Genomic DNA, 21,999 nt, shown 5'->3' with positions numbered 1-21,999 from the left:
GCACTAGGTCTGTTCTGGGCCGTTTTCCTGCCGCCCACGCCCTCCCTCCCGAAATTCCCACAGACACAGAGTTGCAAGTTACTGCCCTCAGCGAACCTCCCCTTATCTTCCCTATAACCAGGAACCTGGGGCCCTCCAGCTCACAGGGGCCCTCTTGTGGCATGTGGGCGCGTAACAGCTCAGCCGGGACCCCGCCTCAAACGCATGGAACTACACTTCCCCGAATGCAGGTGTCCTCTCGTGGACTCCATTTCCCAGCGGCCTCAGCGGCTGCCCCGCCCCTCCTGGTCCCCGGCGCGCCGCGGGGTGAGCGGCGCCGGGCCTGAGGTCGCCCAGACGCCGTCGGGGCGGAGCCGGGTCGCGAGGCTGCATCCCGGCCGGCGGTTCCGGAGCCTCGCGGCTGGGGAGGCGCGGCCCGGGACGCTCGAGCTTAGGGAGGTGAGCGTCGGCGGCAGGCCAAGCCGGTAGGAGGCGGCGCCCGGCACGGGGACTGCCTGCGGCTGCCGAGGCTCCGAAAGCCTTTGTGGGCGCTGGCGGGCACCCCCGCGTCTGTCACCGGCCCCCGCGCCGGGATCTGGACTCTCGCCCCCCCGCGGGGCGCTCCCTCGCCGTTGCTGGTGCACCCGCGTCCGGCTCGCCGTGGACGCCGGGCCTGGCGTTTCCTCCCGGGCCCGTCCTGCCCACTCCATGTGGGCCTCGCGGACTCGGGGCACCGGGACCCCGAGGGCAGGGCGGACGCAGCCGGGCCCCGGTTTCCGAGTCCGTCCCCAGGACGGCCACCCCTCCCGCCTCGGGACACCCAGCGCTTTCCTCTTCAGAGCTGGTGTTTGGCCGGGCGCGGTGGCTCACGCCTGTAATCCCAGCACTTTGGGAGGCCGAAGCGGGTGGATCACGAGGTCAGGAGATCGAGACCATCCTGACTAACACGGTGAAACCCCGTCTCTACTAAAAATACAAAAAAAATTAGCCGGGCGTAGTGGCGGGCGCCTGTAGTCCCAGCTACTTGTGAGGCCGAGGCAGGAGAATGGCGTGAACCCAGGAGGCGGAGCTTGCAGTGAGCCGAGATCAAGCCCTGCACTCCAGCCTGAGCGACAGAGCGAGACTCCGTCTCAAAAAAGAAACATCGTGTTAGAAATGGGATACATGGGGTCGGGCGTGGTGGCTCACGCCTGTAATCCTAGATTTTTGGGATGCCAAGGCGGGCAGATCACCTGAGATCAGGAGTTCGAGACCAGCCTGGGCAACACGGTGAAACCTCGTCTCTACTAAAAATACAAAAATGAGCCGGGCGCCTGTAGTCCCAGCTACTCGGGAGGCTGAGGCAGGAGAATGGCTTGAACCCGGGAGGCAGAGCTTGCAGTGAGCCGAGATCCTGCCACTGCGCTACTGCACTCCAGTCTGGCCAACAGAGCGAGACTCCGCCTCAAAAAAAAAAAAGCCGTTTTCCGTGGAGTCGGGAGATGATTCGTTGGCGGGAGAGAGAGGAACCGGCTGGGAAAGGCTTGAGGCGGAGGGAAGTCGTCCCGGGGCCGTCGTGGTGGGAGTCCCGGCCCGCCTCGCAGCGGCGTGAACGGGGCAGGTGCCCCGGCGCTGCCTCAGTTTCCTGAGCGGTGCAGTGGGTGCTGGCAGTGCCAGCTGGCGCCGAGGAACTCAGCGGCGTGGGGCGAGCCCTGGCCCTGGTGGGCTCAGCGGGTCGCTGCTGCCACTGCGGCTCCAGCGTCCCCTCCGTAAGCCCCAAGCCTGTGGGGCCTGGGCCTGGCCGGGCGGCCCAGCGCTGCTCTGGTCCGCGGGCTCCTGGCTCCTCCCGAATCCCTGTGAGGGCGCGCGGGGTCCTTCTCAGCGGGAGTCGGGGTTTTAGAGCTGCGGATTCCAGGGCTGGAAAGCAGAAGGGGTTCTTCCTGGCTCCCTTTTTCTTCTCAGATCTGCCTTCTGGAGACTGCGCCGTCCTCCCGGGAGAGCCAGAAAGAGGACATGGCTGCTGGGCAGCGGGAAGCGAGGCCCCAGGTGAGCTCATTGCCCTCCCAGATCCCAGTGGATGGATTTTCCCCACTAACTGGAGTTCTTCACCCGGGACCATCTCCAGCCAGGATGGAGCCCAAGTCCTTTTCTCTTGGAGGAGCTGGTCCGCCCTCATGAGTGGTGGATTCTGTAGGGAGGACCACCCACCCTCCCCACCCGTGTCTAGTGGTTCTCTTTTTTTTTTTTTTTTTTGAATCTCGCTTTGTCGCCCAGGCAGTGGCGGGATCTCGGCTCGCTGCAACCTCTGCCTCCCAGGTTGAAGCAATTCTCCTGCCTCAGCCTCCCAAGTAGCTGGGATTACAGGCTCCCGCCATCACGCCCGGCTAAGTTTTTTTTTTTGTGCTTTTATTAGAGATGGGGTTTCACCACGTTGGCCAGGCTGGTCTCAAACTCCTGACCTCAGGTGATCCACCCGCCTCAGCCTCCCAAAGTGCTGGGATTACAGATGTGCGCCACTGCACCCAGCCCGAATAAATCATTTTCTGTACACATTTATTTGTGTGTGTGTGTTTGTGTATGCATGTTACCATCTATGTTACCATTTTAACCTTTTTTTATTGTGGCAAAATATATATAACATAAAATATACCATTTTAACTTTTTAAGTGTATAATTCAGTGGTATTTTAGGTACTTCCGCATTGCTGTGCAGCCATCATCGCTATCCATCTTTATTGTGTAGATTATCACATTTATTTCTTAACCCTAAGGGGCAGGCATTAAAAGGCAGTTTTACAGAGTAGTTAAGAATGCAAGCTCAGTGAGACATCTGCTGGATTTGAATTACACAAGAAAAAACAAAGTCACAGAGAGGATACAAAATTTGTAGAAGTCAGCCGGCCACAGTGGCTCACACCTGTAATCCCAGCACTTTGGGAGGTCGAGGCCGGCAGATCGCCTGAGGTTAGGAGTTTGAGACCAGCATGGTGGAACCCTGTCTCTACTAAAAATACAAAAATTAGCCGGGCATGGTGTCTAGCACCTGTAATCCCACCTACTCAGGAGGCCGAGGCAAGAGAATCATTGGAACCCGGAAGGTGGAGGTTACAGTAAGCCAAGATCATGCCATTGCACTCCAGCCTAGGCAACAAGAGCCAAACTCTGTCTCAAAGAAAAAAAAAAATGTGTACAAGTCACACAGCTGGTCAGTGACTGTGTCTGTGTGACCTGGACAAATTTCTTATCTTGTCTGTGACTTTGTTTTCTCTTGTGTAAAGTGGCAACAATAATGGTATCGTCTTGATAGGATTGTTGTGAATGTTAAATAAAGATTATACACTGCAAATTAACATAAAGCTCTAAGATCAATACTTGGCCCATAGAAAGCCTTCAATAAATTATAGCTATTTTACTTTTCGTCATTACTATCCTTAAGCTTGAGTAAGCACATAGAGAGTACCTTCAGTTGCTTAACCTAACCTCCATCATTAAGTATTTAGATTATTCCTGGTTTTTTGCTCTTAAAAACACCATGAATATGTTTGTGTGTACTTTTGTGCACTGTTCATTATCGTACAAATAGAGTAATTGGTACTTTAAAGAGTATACTTTGAGGGTTCTAATATGTATTAGCAAATCGCCATCAGAAAGAGTTTTCTAATTAACACTCCCACTAATGGCCGTAATTCCTCTACCCATCTCTTACAGTGGCTGCACTAGGCCTGAATCTCACTGTGTGCTGCTCAGTATACATTTGTTACTGGCCAATTATTCATTAAACGAATGATCTGGAACCTTCAGAAGCTTGAATAGTATGGGAAGTGTTTCACGGGTAGCGTGTCTTTCCCACTGCCGCCCCCTCTGCTCTGTGAGGGTGGTCCTGGGTGAGCTGGAACGACTTGTCCTTACAGGTGTCACTGACGTTTGAGGATGTGGCTGTGCTGTTTACCCGAGATGAGTGGAGAAAGCTGGCCCCTTCTCAGAGAAACTTGTACCGGGATGTGATGCTGGAGAACTATAGGAACCTGGTCTCACTGGGTAAGGAAATTTTCCCTCTAGAAACAGAATTCAAAAATTGGGATATCTCAGCACCTCCTTCCCTGAATAAAAGCGGTTGGTCACTGAAAAATTTGAGCTGAGTGTGTGAGGATTGTACAAATCAGATCTTTATAAATAAACATTAAAAACCTATTCCCCCTTATAGGCATGAAATTGCCCTGTGTCTGGGAATGGAAGAGGTGGTATTGATAATCATTCCTCTCTCTCTATGTAATCACACACTCCAAGTTTGTCCATGATTCAGGCATCGTTTCCCAACGATTCTGTAGTTTGCTTGTCTCCCAACAGGGAGCTTCATTCAGCCTCTAGGCCTACCACCTGCCTTTCCCACTTGTCTTTTCCAGGGATTAGCAAACTTTTACTATAAAAAGCCATGTAGGCTGGGCATGGTGGCTCACACCTGTAATCCCAGCACTTTGGGAGGCCAAGGCGGGCAGATCATGAGGTCAAGAGATAGAGACCATTCTGGCTAACGTGGTGAAAGCCTGTCTCTACTAAAAAACACAAAAAAAATTAGCTGGGTGTGATGCCGGGCGCCTGTAGTCCCCGCTACTTTGAAGGCTGAGGCAGGAGAATGGCGAGGAGCTTGCAGTGAGCCAAGTTCCCGCCACTGCACTCCAGCCTGGGCGACAAAGCGAGACTCTGTCTCAAAAAAAAAAAAGCCACGTAGTAAAGACTTTAGGCTTTGTGGGCTGCGTAATGGTCTCCGTAACATATTTCTCTTTTTTTTTCCCACCATTCTTTGCACAGGGCCATACATAAACAGGCAGTGGTCTGAATTTGGCCCATGACCCGTAGTTTGCTGATCACTGCCATCCTTAAAAGGGAGTCACATAGGCCGGGCGCGGTGGCTCACACCTGTAATCCCAGCACTTTGGGAGGCCGAGGCGGGCAGATCACAAGGTCAGAAGATCAAGACCATCCTGGCCAACATGGTGAAACCCTGTCTCTACTGAAAATACAAAACTTAGGCGTGGTGGCATGTTCCTGTAGTCCCCGCTACTTGGGAGACTGAGGCAGGAAAATCACTTGAACCCGGGAGACGGAGGTTGCAGTGAGCCAAGATTGCGCCACTGCACTCCAGCCTGGCAATAGAGCGAGACTCCTCCTCAGAAAAAAAAAGCGGAGTCAGATAGTGTTTTCTCGTTTTAGACAAGCTACCTGGTACATAATCCTTTTCATAGATAACCTACTTAGAAATTCTAATCAGTCTGTATATCTTAACATTTCCTCTTCTATAGAAAGCTAGTGGTATCCTATTACCAATACTGCATGTTGATCATATTTTCCTAACCTATAATTAATTGTCCCAGAGTCATGTCCTACAAGTCACTTGTCTTTTCCTCACCCTACCGCCTTACCCCCTTACCTCCCAGGGGCACAACTGAAGCCCTACACAGAAGCTCTTTGTACCATCCTGTGAGTTCTGTATTTAAATTTGGGATAACTGTATCAATACAAAACCAAGTCTGATTTGTTTGGTTGTGGTTTTTTGTTTATGTGCAGGGCTCCCATTTACCAAACCAAAAGTGATCTCCCTGTTGCAGCAAGGAGAAGATCCCTGGGAGGTGGAGAAAGACGGTTCTGGCGTCTCCTCTCTAGGTAAGTGGGTGGCCCGAGGTGCGGAATGGCCGCAGACAATGGTCTGGTTAATGAGAGGAGGTAGGAACGTTGGTTGGGAAACTCCCTTGAGAATTCTCAGGCCTCAAGAAGTGATGGGGAAGCGGAAGCCCAGGCTCTTAGGCAGGATTCACTTCCCCATGAATCTCTCAGAATCTCTTTCTTACTCTTTCCTGTTGTTTTAGAATAGGGCTGTATTTTCATGTATTCATTCAGCAAACATAGTCTATTTAAGGAATTTCAAATAATCACTCTGGCTGAAGCTCAGGGTGTATTTGGGAAAGGAGGAGGTGAGGAAGGAAATAGCCTAGAAAGCTAGGGAAGGGCCGCGTGGTAAGTGCTTGGGCACGGTTCTAAGAGGTGGAAACTGTCCCATGGAGCACTGGAAATAATGGAAGGATTTGGGCAGGAATCATATGGTCCTTGGTATCTTAGAAAAGTTGGTGTGAATCAGAAACAGCTGAGTCTCCATCCGTGTAAGAACAGCTAAGGGACCTGTGAGCATCACCACCCTGAAAACAAGAGTCCAGGGACGTGGACAGAGCTCCCAAAAAGTTACAGAGCATTGTTAGGACGCCACCATTTATGTCTAATGAAAATTATGTGTATGTGTAATGTGCACATAAGCAGAGAGAAAGGTTAGGAGGACACACCTTAGCTGATGACATTAGTTACACTTGGAATGGGATTGAGAATGGGTCCATGGAAGGGGGCATTACTTACATGTAGTATTTTAATGTTTCACAAAGAGAATATATTTGTGACGTTCTTATGTGATTTGAATTCACAAGAATGGTCACTTTGGAAGCATCGTGTTTGAAAGTGAGGCAGAACGCTGGGCACGGTGGCTCACGCCTGTCATCCTAGCACTTTCAGAGGCCGAGGCGGGCGGATCACCTGAGGTCAGGAGTTTGAGACCAGCCTGGGCAACATGGCAAAACCCTGCCTCTACTAAAAATACAAAAATTAGCCAAGCGTGGTGGGGCAGGCCTGTAATCCCAGCTACTCCGGAGGCTGAGACAGGAGAAACACTTGAACCCGGGAGGCGGAGGTTGCAGTGAGCCGAGATTGCGCCACTTCACTCCAGCCTTGGCGACAGAGTGAGACTCTGTCTTAAAAAAAAAAAAAAAGGCGGGAAGCCTTGCAGAGCGATTGCAGTCATGGAGGGAGGCAGGAGGTGGAAGGGCCTGGATGAAGGCACTTGCCGTGAGTTCGTGAGGGAGGAGGCGGCGCCCACGTGATCAGGGTACAGGAGCAGTTGGGTGTGGGATGGATTTCACTTGAGATGTGAGTGAAGTCGTCAGGTGGGGAACCCTGGTGGGCAGGTGTGTAAGTGACAGGGCCGAGACTCAAGGGAGGTCAGGGAGCCCATTAGCATGATGGGCATTAGAAGCTTGGAGCTGGCCAGGTGAGGGGGCCAAGTGGAGGCCCGAATTTCAGGAAACAGCATTTGCGAGGTGCTTAAGCAGGAGGAATCTGACAGAGCCCGAGAAGTAATCAGAGTAGAGAAACGGGGAGGGGCCATCGTGGCAGTGGGGGACTGAGAGTGGTTGAACTGGGGGGGCTCTGGCTCTGGGGGATCAAGGTTGAACCCTCGCCCACAGCTTTGTATAGCATTGGGCAGAAAGGGACACAGGTCTCCTGCTTCTGGAGTGCACGATCTAGTGGGGGACAAGGTGAACACACTCATTGCACACAAGGCACAGAAGGACACATTCCAGTGAGGACCACGTGGGAAAGACACTCGGTGCTGTGAGAGTGCAGAGCAGGCAGGTGGCGTCAGCAAAGGCTTCCCTGTGGAAGGGCCTGGGATCAAAGGACTGAAGAATTGCTCAGGCCTAAAGAAAGGTGTTCATGAAGGTCCAGAGAAGCAAAGCCAGCGAGGAGAAGGTGGAGCACCCGAGAGAGAGCCACGGGCCCTGTCACAGGGTTTGGTTGGTGCTTGAGAGCCAGGCACAGGTTCTGAGGAGCCGTAAGTAGCCCAGGGCAGGCCTAGGCTGCTTTCTGCAGCCGCCAGCCCATGTGGAGAACCTGACGGCCACAGTGCAGGGCTTGTCAGGTCCAGAGGGCTCAGTGATGGCCCCTTATGCCATGGGCCCAGCAAGGAGCTGCAGGGCAGGCAGCCTCGGTCCCCACAGCCCCTGTGCTGGGGAGAGCTTTCTCCTCCCTGAAGAAAGGTGAGATTTTTTTATATGGGAACCACACTTGTTTATCTTTTTAACTCTCCTTTGGGAGAAATACACTACGTGGTCTGGCCCTGGCTACCTCTTCACTCTCAGCTCCTTCCACTCTGCCCTTCATTCGAGGCCTCTGATCACCCTTGGCCGCCCTGCAGTGTGTCATGGGGGGCGCCAAGCAGGCCCCCACTCAGGGCCTCTGCCCTGCTTTTTCTGTCTGGGACTGTTCTTCGTGGCGGTCATGCGTCCATGTGGCTCGCTCACTTCCTTGTGCTGCACAGGCTTCGGCTCACACAGGCACAGATCATCTGACACGCAGCCCTGCAGCCCCCACGCCATCTCCTCACCGTGCTTTATTTTCCCTCCTCGTGCTTAGCGCTGTGTAATAGATCTGTTTCTTCATGATCTGTCTCTGCCTCTGCATTGTAAGCTGCTGTGGGAGGGGTTGCCTGTTTCATTCACTCCTGTTTTCCAAGAACCTAAAACAGTCCCTGGCCAGGGTATGCGTCCAGTTGTATAATGAATGCACGAGTGACTTGGACTAGGTTAGTGGTGTTGGAGACAGAAAGAAGTGAACCAGTCCCAGGGATGTCCAGGAGATACAGCCAGCAGGACTGTTAGACATGGAAGATAGAGGAGATGGGGTAACAAAGAAAATAAAAGCAAACAAAAGGGAGATGGGGTTGTCAGGGATGCTTGCTTGGTTTCTGGTTTGTTCTGTGACGGTTGGTGATGTCATTCAGTGAGATAGGAACACTAGAAGGAGATCAGATTTGGAGATGATGTAAATTTGGTTTTAGATTAATTGAGCTGTTTTTGGTTGACCTAGTTATCCCAGTGGCGATGACAAGTAGTGTTGATTTCGGAGTACAGTACCTCAAAATGTAGACTGAGCTTGAAATGTAAATTTGGGAGAACCTGATCAATATAGGGTGATTGAAATAATGGGAGAGGATGAGTTGGCCTAGGGAGAGTGTTCACATTACAGTAAGAGTAAGAAAGAGCCTAAGACTGAATCTTGAGGAACTCCAGCATTTCAGGAAGCCAGGCAGAGAGAAATGAACCCATAGGGAAGACAGGTAAAAGCGTACTGTAAGGAAAATCAGGAGAGGCAGGTGACATTGGAGGCAAGGCTCATGATGGAATGGTAGCAGTAGATGGGGAAAAGTAGACGAATGTGAGGCAGATTTAGATGGCAGAATAAACAGGTCTTGGTAATTGATTAGATGAGGGGGCTGAGGGAGGGAGAATTATTAAGGATAACTCTTAAGGTTTTGATTCAGAGGTGGTGCCATTTACAGAGACAAGGGGTTGACCAGGTCGGAGGGAAGAATCGTGAGTGTGGTTTTAGGTGTGTTGACTTTGAGGCATCTGAACTGCTCTTTTGAGTAGGTCGTCTGTAAGGGGGAGTCGAGTATGGGAGATATCTTGCTTAGAGGATGAGTCTATGATTGAAGTTGCCTGTGGAAAGATGCAGAGTGAGAAGAACTGGGGGCCTAGAACTAAAGCTAAGGCACTCCAAGGATGATAAACTGTGGTACGTCCACACAGCTGTAAAGTGGAATGAGGAGGACCTCTGTAACTTCTACTATGGAGTGATCTCCAGAATGTGAGAATAAGTGCAGAACAGCACAGTTAGTACTGTTATCTAAGAAAGGTGGGTGGGAATACCAAGAAAAGTGTGTGTGTATTTACTTACACTGTCATGGAGCACATAATGTTTCAGTCAATGATAGCCTACATATATGATGATGCTCCCATAGATGATAATACTGCATTTTTCCTGTCCCTTTTCTATGTTTTAATATGTTGAGATGCACAAATACTTACAATTGTGTTACAGTAGCCTACAGTATTCAGCTAAGTAACATGCTGTATAGGGGTATAGCCTAGGTGTGTAGTAGCCTATACCATCTAGATTTGTGTAACACACTCTGATGACTGCACAACATCGCCAACAACGCGTATCTCAGAACATATCCCAGTCATTAAGCAGTGCAATTATTTTTTTTAGAAAGATAAAAGCAAAAGAAAAAAAAGGAGATCAATAAAAATGGTTATCTCTAAGGTGAAGGAAGAAAAAGGATGGAACAGGGGTAGAATCTATGACTTTTTGAGGTCTCAAAATTTTGACTTCAGAACTATAAAAATGGTTTATAAAATTATAAGACAAAATTAAACAAAAATGAGAAAGTACCCCCTACATATTGAAAGCAGAATGAAACAACCCTAATTGTGTTCCAGGTTGGTGGCTTAGCCACAAAAAGAATTATTTGAATTGCCTTTACATTGCAGCAGTTTGACTTATTAGTGTAGGTATTCTAGGGGCAAAAGTAACTGCAAGCAGTGGTGTTAATTTTGATGGATGTGCTAAGAGCGGTTTTGATGTTTTTACAGATGAAATGATTTTGCTGTCTGGGATGTGCTCTAGCATAACCTAGTGGACGAGATGAAAGGGTTTGTGTTAGTTTGCTAGGGCTCCATACTGAAGTACCACAAGCTTCGTGGCTTAAAACAGTAGAGATTTACTGTCTCACAGTTCTGAAGGTCAAAATCAAGATATTCGCAGGGCCCCGCTCCCTCTGAGACTCTGCATAGAATTCTTCCTTGCCTTTTGCTAGCTTGTAGCGATGGCCAACTTGGAGATCTCCGTGGCCTGCAGCTGCATCAGTCCTATCTGTGCCTCCGTCTTCACACTGTGTTCGCCCGGTGTCTTCACATCATCTTTCCTTCTGGATGCCTGTGTCCAAATTTCCCCAGTTTACGGGGACAGCAGTCACGCTGGATTAGGGCTCACCCCAATGACTTCATCTTAATTTGATTGAACGTGCAAAGACCATATTTTAAAGTAAGGTCACGTTCTGAGGTCCTGGAAGTTAGGACTTCTACGTCTCTCTTTTGAATGATGCGGTTCAGCCCATAACAAGGTTGTCAATAGAATAGTGTTGCTGGTTATTGAAACTGGCTGGAGATTCACTGTACAATTCACACTACTTTTACATATGCTGAAAATTTCTATGTTAAAAGCTTTAAAAATAAGAGTTACCACAACAACATTTCTAAAACAGCTTTTCTCTTTTCCACCAGCACAAAGATGATAGAGGATGTTTACAAATAGGCAGTACTACCCCCATCATGGTTTATGTGCAGTTCCCAGCAGATTGCTCCTTGAGTTCTCTGACTCTAGAAAACCTTGTGAGACTGCAAATGCAAGTGACATTTTTTTTTTTTTTTGAGACGGAGTCTCGCTCTGTCGCCCAGGCTGGAGTGCGGTGGCGGGATCTCGGCTCACTGCAAGCTCCGCCTCCCGGGTTCACGCCATTCTCCTGCCTCAGCCTCCCAAGTAGCTGGGACTACAGGCGCCCGCCACTACGCCCGGCTAATTTTTTGTATTTTTAGTAGAGACGGGGTTTCACCGTTTTAGCCGGGATGGTCTCGATCTCCTGACCTCGTGATCCGCCCGCCTCGGCCTCCCAAAGTGCTGGGATTACAGGCGTGAGCCACCGCGCCCGGCCGCAAGTGACATTTTTATAGGTGGAGCTTTTACTCTGACTAGCTATAGGATAAGGTGGGGGTGGATACTTCAGCAAATAAGTCTGGAAAACTGACTTGCATTCAAAGACTTGGGTGCTGCCTTCAGCCCTTGTGCTACCCCTTCATCTAGCCTATGGCGATTCCTTTCACATCCTATCTTATATGTCAATTCTTACGAAACACTCCAGCAGCGTCCTGCTGCACCCCTTTTCTACCTGCACCCTCACTATCTAAGGACAGTTGGATATGATTCTAAGCTCGTGTTCACGTCCATTTCTAGCTTATGTTTCTATTGTAGAAATTGTCACATTGTATTGTGATTACCTACTGATGTCTTCATTTCTAATGTCTGACTATAAACTCTCTGAAGAAATCAACTGTTCCTTTTAATTACTGGATCCGTAGGGAACTGTGGATCACCGATGCCTAGGATAGAGCCTAATACATAGTAGGTACTTTTTAAATATTTGATAAATTAATAAAGTAAGGCGTGACCAATGCTTTTTGAAATAACATGACCAATTCTGTGTATTAAGAGGGGTAAATCCAGTGGGAAATAATACTGGAAAGGCAAGAAACAGGTCAAAGGAATAACTTAAGATCAGGAGCAAGTCACTCTACAGTGAGGAGATCCTGAACTTAGACATATTCACGATGGCTTATTAGAGACATTTTAGTGATGAGATTTAAGAGAATGTGCAGCCTGGGCAACACAATGAAACCCTGTCACTACGCAAGATAAAAATATTAGCCAAGCTTGGCAGTGTGCACCCGTAGTTCCTGCTGCTCAGGAGGCTGAGGTGGGAGAATCGCTTGAGCCCTGGAGTTTGAGGCTGCAGTGAGCTATGATGGCACCAGTGCATTTCAGCCTGGGCAACAGAGCAAGACCCTGTCTCTCAAAAAACAAAAAAATGAAGATTTTGATGACTGCCTAGGGAAGAGAAATTCTAAGATAAAACTAAGAATTTACGGTAAATTAACTGAAGAGATGATGGTGTCATTTTGAACTGGAAAACATATAAAAAAGGTTTGAAAAGGAATGCTCTGGGTTCAGATTTGGACAGGCTGAATTTAAAAAGAAAGATACACAAGTGGAAATTCTAACCGGCAGTTGGAAAGACCTCTGTAAAGTATTTTTCAGGATAGTCGTACACATAAGAGGTGTGGGAGTAAATGAAATCATCCAGGGAGATAGGGTTGAAGAAACACTCTCTGGGTGTAGTGAGAGTCCAGGTGGAAGAGTCTAGACCTGATAACAGGAAGTGGTCAGGGCAGTGGCCATCAGCAAGATGATTCTGGCTTCTCAACTTCTGACCTAGGTCTTCACCTTGTTTAACAGGTAGCTGAGGACTGGGCTTGATTCTAGGAGGAAGCAAAGGTTGAACTGCACCTCAGGAGACCTATTTGTAGGCCTCTAGAAAGTTCTAAACAGATCATAAGGAAGAGTCAGGATATCCACAATCCAAAACTTACGTCTGCTTCTGTGAAAAACATGATTTCAGGACTAAAATATTGGCACTTTAGAGTTGGGATGAGTTTTCCAGAATTGATAATGGACTTCCGAGTCGTAATCATATCCATTAAAAAATAAAAGCTCCCCATGTCACATTTGCTTACTCTCCTTTAGAAACTGTTGAAAAGGGTTTCTGCTCTTGATGTTTCTATTTTCTCACCTCCCATTGTTTCCTCCATGCACTCCAGCTGGGCTTTCTTCCTTATAATTCCACTGATAGCTCTGTTATTAAATCCCAAACAACCTCCGTCTTGCCACAATCAGGATTAAGTTTTTAGTCCTCAAATTATTTGCCACAGTTATTCACTCCTCCCTGAAGTACTTCTTCCCTTGGCTTCTGGAACACTGTACTCTCCTGATATTATTCTTCTTAACCTCGTAATATTTCAGTGTCTAAGTGATTCCTTTCAGTTCTTCAGCTTTAAATCAAACCCACATGCTGCTGACCCCCAAATGCCTGTCTATAGCTCTGACCTCCCCCAGATCTCCAGAATAATAAATACAATCTAGTATTTCAGTATCTTCCTGCAACTCTATTAAGGCATCTCAGCCATCACAAACATACCAGAAACAGAATGCCCCCTCAGCCTTGCCCCTTTCCTGGTCTTCCCCTTCTAGCCTTGCCCCTTTCCTGGTCTTTCCCTTCTTGGTGGTTGGTGGCAGCTCTCAGAATTCTGGCTAGAAACCTAGGCATGATCCCTAACTTTCCTGTTTCCCTCTCAGCTTCCTGGGAGTCCTGAGTCTTGTTATTCTTGGTCCCGCTAGCTCTTCCTTCACTGTACAGCCTGGCATAGTCATCTGTACCTCCAGCCCTTTCTCACGTGAAGAGCTGCAGTAGCTTCTTCAGTAGCCTCTCCCCTCCCTGCTTCCACTGGTGCCCCAGCGTAGTCGGTCCACGCAGCAGCCAACTCAAATGAACACATAATTCCCCAGTGGCTTCCCGTAGGCTTAAATTCCAGTCCTTAGGATGACCTGGGCCTTAGAGGATTTGTCCCCCACCTCCTGCTCCACTCTTTTGTTTTTTATTTTTTGTTTACTTTTTTTTTTTTTTTTTTTGAGATGGAGTCTCACTCTGTCGCCCAGGCTGGTGTGCAGTCATGTGATCTGGGCTCACTGCAGCCTCTGCCTCCTGGGTTCAAGCAATTCTCTGCCTCAGCCTCCCGAGTACCTGGGATTATGGGCGTGTGCCACCACACCCGGCTGATTTTTGTATTTTTAGTAGATAACAGATTTCACCGTGTTGGCCAGGCTGGCCTTGAATTCCTGATCTCAGGTGATGCACCCACCTCGGCCTCCCAAAGTGCTAGGATTGCAGCTGTGAGCCACCACGCCCGGCCCCGTTCCAGGCTTATTTTATCATTTCACCATTTTCCCTCTTCTCGCTCTACTCTGGCCAGTCTCTCTGCTGTTCCTAAGTCAGCCTCACTTTTGTGTGTGTTGGTTCCTTTGCCCAGGGAGCTCTTGAGCACTTTCTTCAGCTATCCACATGACTTTTATTACGTACTTGTTATTTGTCCCTTCATCCCCCTCCTTCCCCAGCACATGCGCACACTCCAAAGTATAAGCTCCTTAAAGGCTGGAACCCTGTCTTATTGAATACATTATCTGCATTCCCCAGAACATTACCTGGCCCATAGTAGGCACTTAATGAGTACTTGTGAATGGAAAGGATGCTGCCAGCATATGTAAAGATAAACAAGTCAAGTCATGGAGTGCTCCTGAAGCTGCATGTAGTTCAGCATACCTGGCAAGAAGCCAGGGAAGAGGGGGTGAGGACAGGTGGATAAAGGTCAGATCAGATAGTACTCTATTCACCATGTTAAGGACGCCTAAGAGTCTTCAAGACTCTTAAGAGACTTCAGATGTGAATCATTGAAAATCTATTGGAGGACCTTAAGGAAGTTTGCCACATAGTAAAATATTGATCTTAGAAAGATTGGCCGGGCATGATGGCTCACACCTGTAATCCCAGCGCTTTGGGGAGGCTGAGGTGGGCGGAACATGAGATCAGGAGTTCGAGACCAGCCTGACCAACATGGTGAAACCCTGTCTCTACTAAAAATACAAAAATTAGCCAGGTGTGGTGGCGCACACCTGTAATCCCAGCTACTTAGGAGGCTGAGGCAGGAGAATCACTTGAACCTGGGAGGGGGAGGTTGCAGTGAGCCGAGGTCGCGCCACTGCACTCCAGCCTGGGTGACACAGTGAGACTCCATCTCAAAAAAAAAAAAAACCACAGAGATTATTCTGGCTGCAGTGTGGAGACTGAATTGGCAGAGGGCAAGACTAGTTAGGAGATTATGGTAGAGATAGTAATGCATGGCAAACAAAATACCACTTAAGTACCTGATCCCCGTGCTCAGGGCTGTAGCAAAGGTGAGGGACCTTTCTTTACACTAGGCCTAAGGCAGGTTCTGTATCATTGCCTTACAAGCTAGAATCCAAGTTGCAGAATCTTGCTGCTGCCTTCTTCCCAGCACATATATTAAGCCTAGAAACAACGACCGATATTCACAGGGAAAAAGCACTTCATTTTTGCCACTGCCCCCTCCATATATTTGGCCTAAATAATGTATTAAAATTTGATCACTTAATTTAGCAAGACTGAAACGGAGAAGGAACTAGGAAGGTGTTAAGCATAAAGTTAAGAAACTCTGCTTTCCCTTACAGTAAATAGTATAAAGATATAAGGCATGTGAAGTTAGTCAGGGAGGGTGTGTGGAGTGAAAAAAAAATCCAAAACCCTAGGGAATACCATTATTTAAAGAAGGAATGGAAGAAGAGTTATCCATGAAGGGAACTAGTAAGTGAACACTAATAAGGGAAAAGCAAGATGTATTGTGTTTGTTAAGCAGAAGTAATTTGTAGATGTGTGAAAGTGACTGTCATACAGGAATCGCAAATACAGTGAGACACAAATGGTCCCTTTAAACAGTTACCTCTACCCCAAGAGAAGATGCTAAGACTATGTGCATAACCGTTCCCCTGAGAGAATTTACTATCTATTGAATTGTGTTCTTATCCAATTTTAATATTTCTTCACTTCTGTTCTTTACTTTTCCATGTTAACCATGCTTTATCTTATATATCCATGCCTGTCTTATTGTTGATCTTTGACTCTTTTCAGCCATCCCATGTAACCTCTCTTGCTTGATGCATGAGTAGGCTGCCTTCCTATCTTGCACCTCTTGGCTCTAGGCCTGTCTTGTGGCACCTCTTGTCGATTAATTCAATAACAGGGCCCTCCTGTTTGAACTGGCCCTGAAACCTCTCTAATCACCCATGTACTGGCCTAGGAGGCAACTTCTACAAGGGTCTGAAATGTGTATGTGTATGTATGTATAACACATGTGCATATTTGTATATATATGAAGTATGTATGTGTATGTATGTATAACACATGTGCATATTTGTATATATATGAAATACGTAAGAATATTTGACATTGTTCCAGTTAGGAATGTATAAGTAATTAAGGCAGATTAACAAAACATACAACTTTTGTATATAATTGGAGTGCTGTCAAGAGGATCTGTAGGAAAATAGGGCATTCTGATCTGCTTGTGAAGAACAGTTACTTCAGAAAAGGAAAGTGAGATACATACAGACATAGATATAGAACTATAATATACTATATATGTGTGCATATATTATAAAGGTCAGTAATACATATGTTTAATACTCTGGTAAGTGCTATAGTAAGGAGAAGGGACCGTGGCTGCTCAGAGTCAAAGGATTGAGAGAGTCCATTTTTGAACTGAATCTGAAGGATATAAGGGAATTTGACATGGGGTGGAGGGACTTTCCAGATTAAGAATAATTATATAAAGGCTGAGCACAGTGGCTCATGCCTGTAATCCAAGCACTTTGGGAGGCCGAGGTGGGTAGATCACTTGAGGTCAGGAGTTCAAGGCCAGCCTGGCCAACACGGTGAAACCCTGTCTCTACTAAAAATACAAAAATTAGCCAGGCATGATGGTGGGTGCCTGTAATCCCAGCTACTCAGGAGGCTGAGGCACAAGAATTGCTTGAAGCCAGGAGACCGGTTGCAGTGAGCCGAGATCGCGCCACTGCACTCGAGCCTGGGCGACAGAGTGAGACTGTCTCAAAAAAAATTACACAAAGAAGATAAATGTCAAAAAAAAAAAACAAAAAAAAATTAGGATTCCATCATGGGTTTTGGGTCCTAACCCCAAACTTCCTCTTTCAACTCATGATCCCTTTATAACCCTTTTCTCTGTTCTTCATTAGCCAATTCTTCTGGTCACTCTTTCTCACCCTCTTTAAATGGGTTTGCTTTATTTTATTCTTCACCCTAGTACTTAAATTGCTGTCAATTATATTTTATTATACTGTCTAACTGTCCTATTTTTTCTTTTTGCAATTTTTTTCATACAGATATCAGGGTCTTATTTAAATGTCACCAATATTTATTCCTTCTACACTTTTAGTCTCAGTAGTCAGATGCTATGATATCACATGAAACATTTTTGATTTTTTTTTTCCCTCCAGGATCGAAGAGCAGTCATAAAACCACAAAGTCAACGCAAACACAAGACTCTTCATTTCAGGGACTGATACTGAAAAGATCCAACAGGAATGTACCTTGGGATTTGAAATTAGAAAAGCCTTACATATATGAAGGCAGATTAGAGAAAAAGCAGGATAAAAAGGGAAGTTTTCAGATAGTTTCAGCCACCCACAAAAAAATCCCCACTATAGAAAGAAGCCATAAAAATACTGAATTGAGCCAAAACTTCAGCCCAAAGTCAGTGCTTATTAGGCAACAGATACTTCCCAGAGAAAAAACACCACCAAAATGTGAAATACAAGGAAACAGCCTCAAACAGAATTCACAATTACTTAATCAACCAAAAATTACAGCAGATAAACGCTATAAATGTAGTCTGTGTGAAAAAACCTTCATTAACACTTCATCCCTTCGTAAACATGAGAAAAACCATAGTGGAGAGAAACTATTTAAGTGTAAAGAATGTTCAAAAGCCTTTAGCCAAAGTTCAGCTCTTATTCAACATCAAATAACGCATACTGGAGAGAAACCCTACATATGTAAAGAATGTGGGAAAGCCTTTACTCTCAGTACATCCCTTTATAAACATCTAAGAACCCATACTGTGGAGAAATCCTACAGATGTAAAGAATGTGGTAAATCCTTCAGCCGAAGGTCAGGCCTTTTTATACATCAAAAAATTCATGCTGAAGAAAACCCTTGTAAGTATAATCCGGGTAGGAAGGCATCTAGTTGCAGCACATCCCTTTCTGGATGTCAAAGAATTCATTCTAGAAAGAAGTCCTACTTATGTAATGAATGTGGCAACACCTTTAAGTCTAGCTCATCCCTTCGTTATCATCAGAGAATTCACACTGGAGAGAAGCCTTTTAAATGTAGTGAATGTGGGAGAGCCTTCAGCCAGAGTGCCTCTCTTATTCAACATGAAAGAATTCACACCGGAGAAAAGCCCTATAGATGCAATGAATGTGGGAAAGGCTTTACTTCTATTTCACGACTTAATAGACACCGAATCATTCATACTGGAGAGAAGTTTTATAATTGTAATGAATGTGGTAAAGCCTTAAGCTCCCACTCAACACTTATTATTCACGAGCGAATTCATACTGGAGAAAAACCATGTAAATGTAAAGTATGTGGAAAAGCCTTCAGACAGAGTTCAGCTCTCATTCAACATCAGAGAATGCATACTGGAGAAAGACCCTATAAATGTAACGAGTGTGGGAAAACATTCAGGTGTAACTCATCACTTAGTAATCACCAGAGAATTCATACTGGAGAGAAACCATATCGATGTGAGGAATGTGGGATATCTTTTGGCCAAAGTTCAGCTCTTATTCAGCATCGAAGGATTCATACAGGAGAAAAACCCTTTAAATGTAATACATGTGGAAAAACTTTTAGACAAAGCTCATCACGTATTGCACATCAGAGAATTCATACTGGAGAGAAACCCTATGAATGTAATACATGTGGGAAACTTTTCAACCATAGGTCATCCCTTACTAATCATTATAAAATTCATATCGAAGAGGACCCCTAGAAAGTAGATTTGTATGTGTGAAAGCCTTAAACCAAAGCTCATCGAAGAATACATCCTTGAGAGAGATGTAATAAATGTAATGGATGTGAAAAAAACTGTAATAATTTAGCCCTCATTAGGTATTTAATTCCATGGATAAACCTCAGCTATATAATAGATATGAGGAAAGTGTTTGTGCCTGTCAGACACTTAAAAAAATAACCTGAGATGAAGAATTTACAATTGAAGACATTGACTTTAGCCATTTGTGAAATGGGTTTGCTTTTTCCCTTTTCCTACAGACGTATATGCTAGATGTCACGTGATCATCAGAAACAGATATCCGAGTGGGTGGGGAGGTGTGCTTTAGATTTCTCATTAGAAGACCACCAAACTGGTAATATTTTTATAGCATTTTAATAGCTTGATCAAATTGTACCTTTTTAGAGAAAAGGACCAAAATAAAAGAAAAATGAATTATGAACTACCTCTCAGTCTCTGGGGTTTGTCCTTTTCCTACCCTGATGTCAAACTTATGCATGGATTTCATTAAAAAAGAAAAAGAAAAATCTGGTCTTTTGTTCTAGTAGTTGTGAATTTTCTACTCAACTGTCTTAACTTGGTTTTGGATTTTATTTCTCTGAAGTCATTTATTAGGTGTACCAGTTATATGCCCTGAACTGTATTAGATAGAAAAACAGGCAATAATTTCAGGTTTAAAGCTACTAAATATGTATGTATGTATTTATTATTATTATTTTTATTTTGAGATGGAGTCTCTGTCACCCAGGCTGGAGTGCAATGGTGCGATCTCGGCTCACTGCAACCTCCGCCTCCCAGGTTCAAGCAATTCTCCTGCCTCAGCCTCTCGAGTAGCTGGGATTACAGGCACCTGCCACCACACCCGGCTATTTTGTATTTTTAGTAGAGACAGGGTTTCTCCATGTTGGCCAGGCTGGTCTTGAACTCCTGACCTCAGGTGATCTGCCTGCCACGGCCTCCCAAAGTGCTGGGATTACAGGTGTGAGCCACCGTGCCCGGCCACCCTAAATATGTATTTTTTAAATTTATAACGAACACATCAGAAGAACTTTCGCAAATCTAACACCTGTGGCAAACTCTTGAAAAGGACATTGCTATGGTCTCAATGTTTATGTCTCCCCCAAATCCCTGTGTTCAAATGCTAACCTCCAAGGTGATGGTATCATGAAGTGGGATGTGTGAAGAGGTGATCAGATCAGAAGGGCGGAGCCCTCAGTGCCCTTATCAGAGAGCCCCAAGGGAGCTTGTTCTGCCCTTCAGCCATGTGAAGGCACAGTGGTAAGATACCTTCTTTGAATCAAGATGGCCATAACCAGACACCAAACCTGCTAGCACTTTAAATGGGTTTCCCAGCCTCCAGAACTGTGAGAAATATTTTATTAGTTACCTAGTATGATGAGGTTATTTTGTTACAGCAGCCCAAACAAGACATGTGAATTGTTTCATAAACTTAGTGTAGTGTGACAGATCCCCTACCAGGTTACCTAAGGGTTTATATCCACTACTTGAGCCCTGAAGTCTGGACAGTAAGCAGAGGCCATGGTGCCCAGCTGAGGAGCAAGTGTCCCTGAGAACCCAAACATCCCAGAGTATCTGGGAACACACTAAGCAAACAGTCCAATCACACACGAGGCAAAGAGCCAGAAAACTGGCTTAAAAGCAGCTTAGAGGTGCGAGGTGGTGCAGATCTCCAGAGCTGTCCTGCTGCAGTCCAGGAGAGCCCTGTATGGAAGTCATAATAAACTCATCTGCTCATCAAGCTGGACTTGTCTGAGTCATTCTTTGGTCTCTCGGCTCCTTCCCAGTTTGAGGGGGGACATTACAGTCCTAAGTTTTTCTCAACAGTAAATATTTTTTAACTTTGGAGCAGGTACTATACAAGTTTACAAGTTTTAAAACTGTACAAGTTTTAAGACAGACACAGGCTTTTCTTCAAGAAGCCATGAATTGGGAAGGGGATGGAGTTGGGCTAGCAAATGAGCAAGCAGATTATATTGCAGTTTTTGTTGTTTCAGTAGGCAAATAAGTTATGACAATATGTTCCACTATGAAAATATTGTAAAGATTTGCACAGGATGAAGAAAGAGACTCATGAAGAAAGCCTGGAGACATCAAAGCTTTCCAGGGGCAATGATGCCTGGGCTATATTTGGGGAGAATAGTAGGAACTCCGAGGGAGACAGAAGCATTCCGATTAAGAGGAAACAGCATGCGCCAAACCACAGGTGGATAATAGGACATTTGGAAAACTTAATTTAGAACTAGTGAGCAGGAAAATGACAAATGTTAAAGCTCGAGTAGAAGGCAGAAGCCAAATCACAAAAGGCCTTATTTGCCAAGCTAAGGAGTTTGGATTTTATGGTAAAATCGGTGGAGTCAAAGATGGTAAGCAAGGGAAATTCCATAGAAGATAAGCGTATGGGGTTGAAGAAAGCTGATGACTGATGCCACCCAGGAAATCTGGGCTGTTTAAATTCAAGTAATAGGTAAATGAGGGTTCCAACTCAAACAGGGACAGCATTGATGGAGAACAGGAGACAGATAATCATGTATTAGAATAAATAAGGCATGGTTTTCATAGGCAAATAGGTGAGAGTGGCAAGTGAGGAGAAAGCTGACTCACAGGTAGGGTTGCCAAACGTCCTGTATTTAATGATTTTGTCCTGAATCCTGTATTAACTTTGTTAGGATGCCTTAAATGTATTCAGGGTTTCTCCCCTCATTAATGAAAAATCAGCACTTTGAGCTACGGTTCTGCTTCAGTAATTGGCGCTTAAATCGCTTAAGTGGCAATACAAGTTGGAAATCATACCTCCACAAATAAAGATCTGAACCATCTCTTATGTTTTATCCTATGTGTTTGACTGAGGGAAGGCAAAAGGGGGAAGTGAGAATAAAAGTACTTGTTTTCCGTATTAAAGAAAGGAAAAGACTGTTCTTTTGGCCAAATTCCTAAGTTGTAAAATAATCCCCAATAATTAGATCTTTGGATCAGTACACGTGGTCTGAAAAATCAATGATGGCCTCGCTGCCAGCAGCCATGCT

General features: G+C 45.9%; 1 protein-coding gene across 5 annotated transcripts, besides 4 other annotated features; it reads left to right on the top strand.

The window, feature by feature from the left end:
* Window positions 156-495: a silencer, noted in NCBI's record as "silent region_16723". NCBI's record gives its function as "represses an Ori minimal core promoter by ATAC-STARR-seq in GM12878 lymphoblastoid cells {active_cell/tissue: GM12878}" and the evidence as "EXISTENCE:reporter gene assay evidence [ECO:0000049][PMID:35858748]".
* Window positions 335-19,482, top strand: ZNF354A (zinc finger protein 354A). 5 transcript variants are annotated; one of them, NM_005649.3, is made up of 5 exons: window positions 335-438; window positions 1,921-2,004; window positions 3,869-3,995; window positions 5,523-5,618; window positions 17,373-19,482. In NM_005649.3, exons 2-5 carry the CDS (start codon window positions 1,972-1,974, stop codon window positions 18,932-18,934), a joined length of 1,818 nt encoding a protein of 605 aa, NP_005640.2. In that variant the 5' UTR covers window positions 335-438; window positions 1,921-1,971; the 3' UTR covers window positions 18,935-19,482. The 5 variants fall into 5 exon arrangements, with proteins under 5 accessions (NP_005640.2, XP_016865280.1, XP_047273600.1 ...); XM_017009791.2 differs by having other exon boundaries at window positions 335-464; XM_047417644.1 differs by having other exon boundaries at window positions 335-928.
* Window positions 566-795: a silencer, noted in NCBI's record as "silent region_16722". NCBI's record gives its function as "represses an Ori minimal core promoter by ATAC-STARR-seq in GM12878 lymphoblastoid cells {active_cell/tissue: GM12878}" and the evidence as "EXISTENCE:reporter gene assay evidence [ECO:0000049][PMID:35858748]".
* Window positions 6,735-6,935: a silencer, noted in NCBI's record as "peak5604 fragment used in MPRA reporter construct". NCBI's record gives its function as "represses an SCP1 promoter by STARR-seq MPRAs in K562 erythroleukemia cells {active_cell/tissue: K562}" and the evidence as "EXISTENCE:reporter gene assay evidence [ECO:0000049][PMID:32103011]".
* Window positions 7,151-7,651: an enhancer, noted in NCBI's record as "H3K4me1 hESC enhancer chr5:178150344-178150844 (GRCh37/hg19 assembly coordinates)". NCBI's record gives its function as "activates a minimal SCP1, AML or CMV promoter by ChIP-STARR-seq in naive H9 embryonic stem cells {active_cell/tissue: H9 hESC(naive)}" and the evidence as "EXISTENCE:reporter gene assay evidence [ECO:0000049][PMID:30033119]".
* Window positions 19,483-21,999: the final 2,517 nt, after the last annotated feature.

Source organism: Homo sapiens, chromosome 5, assembly GCF_000001405.40.
Source record: "Homo sapiens chromosome 5, GRCh38.p14 Primary Assembly".
NCBI lineage: Eukaryota > Metazoa > Chordata > Mammalia > Primates > Hominidae > Homo > Homo sapiens.
This window is presented reverse-complemented; position numbering and strand designations above follow the sequence as displayed.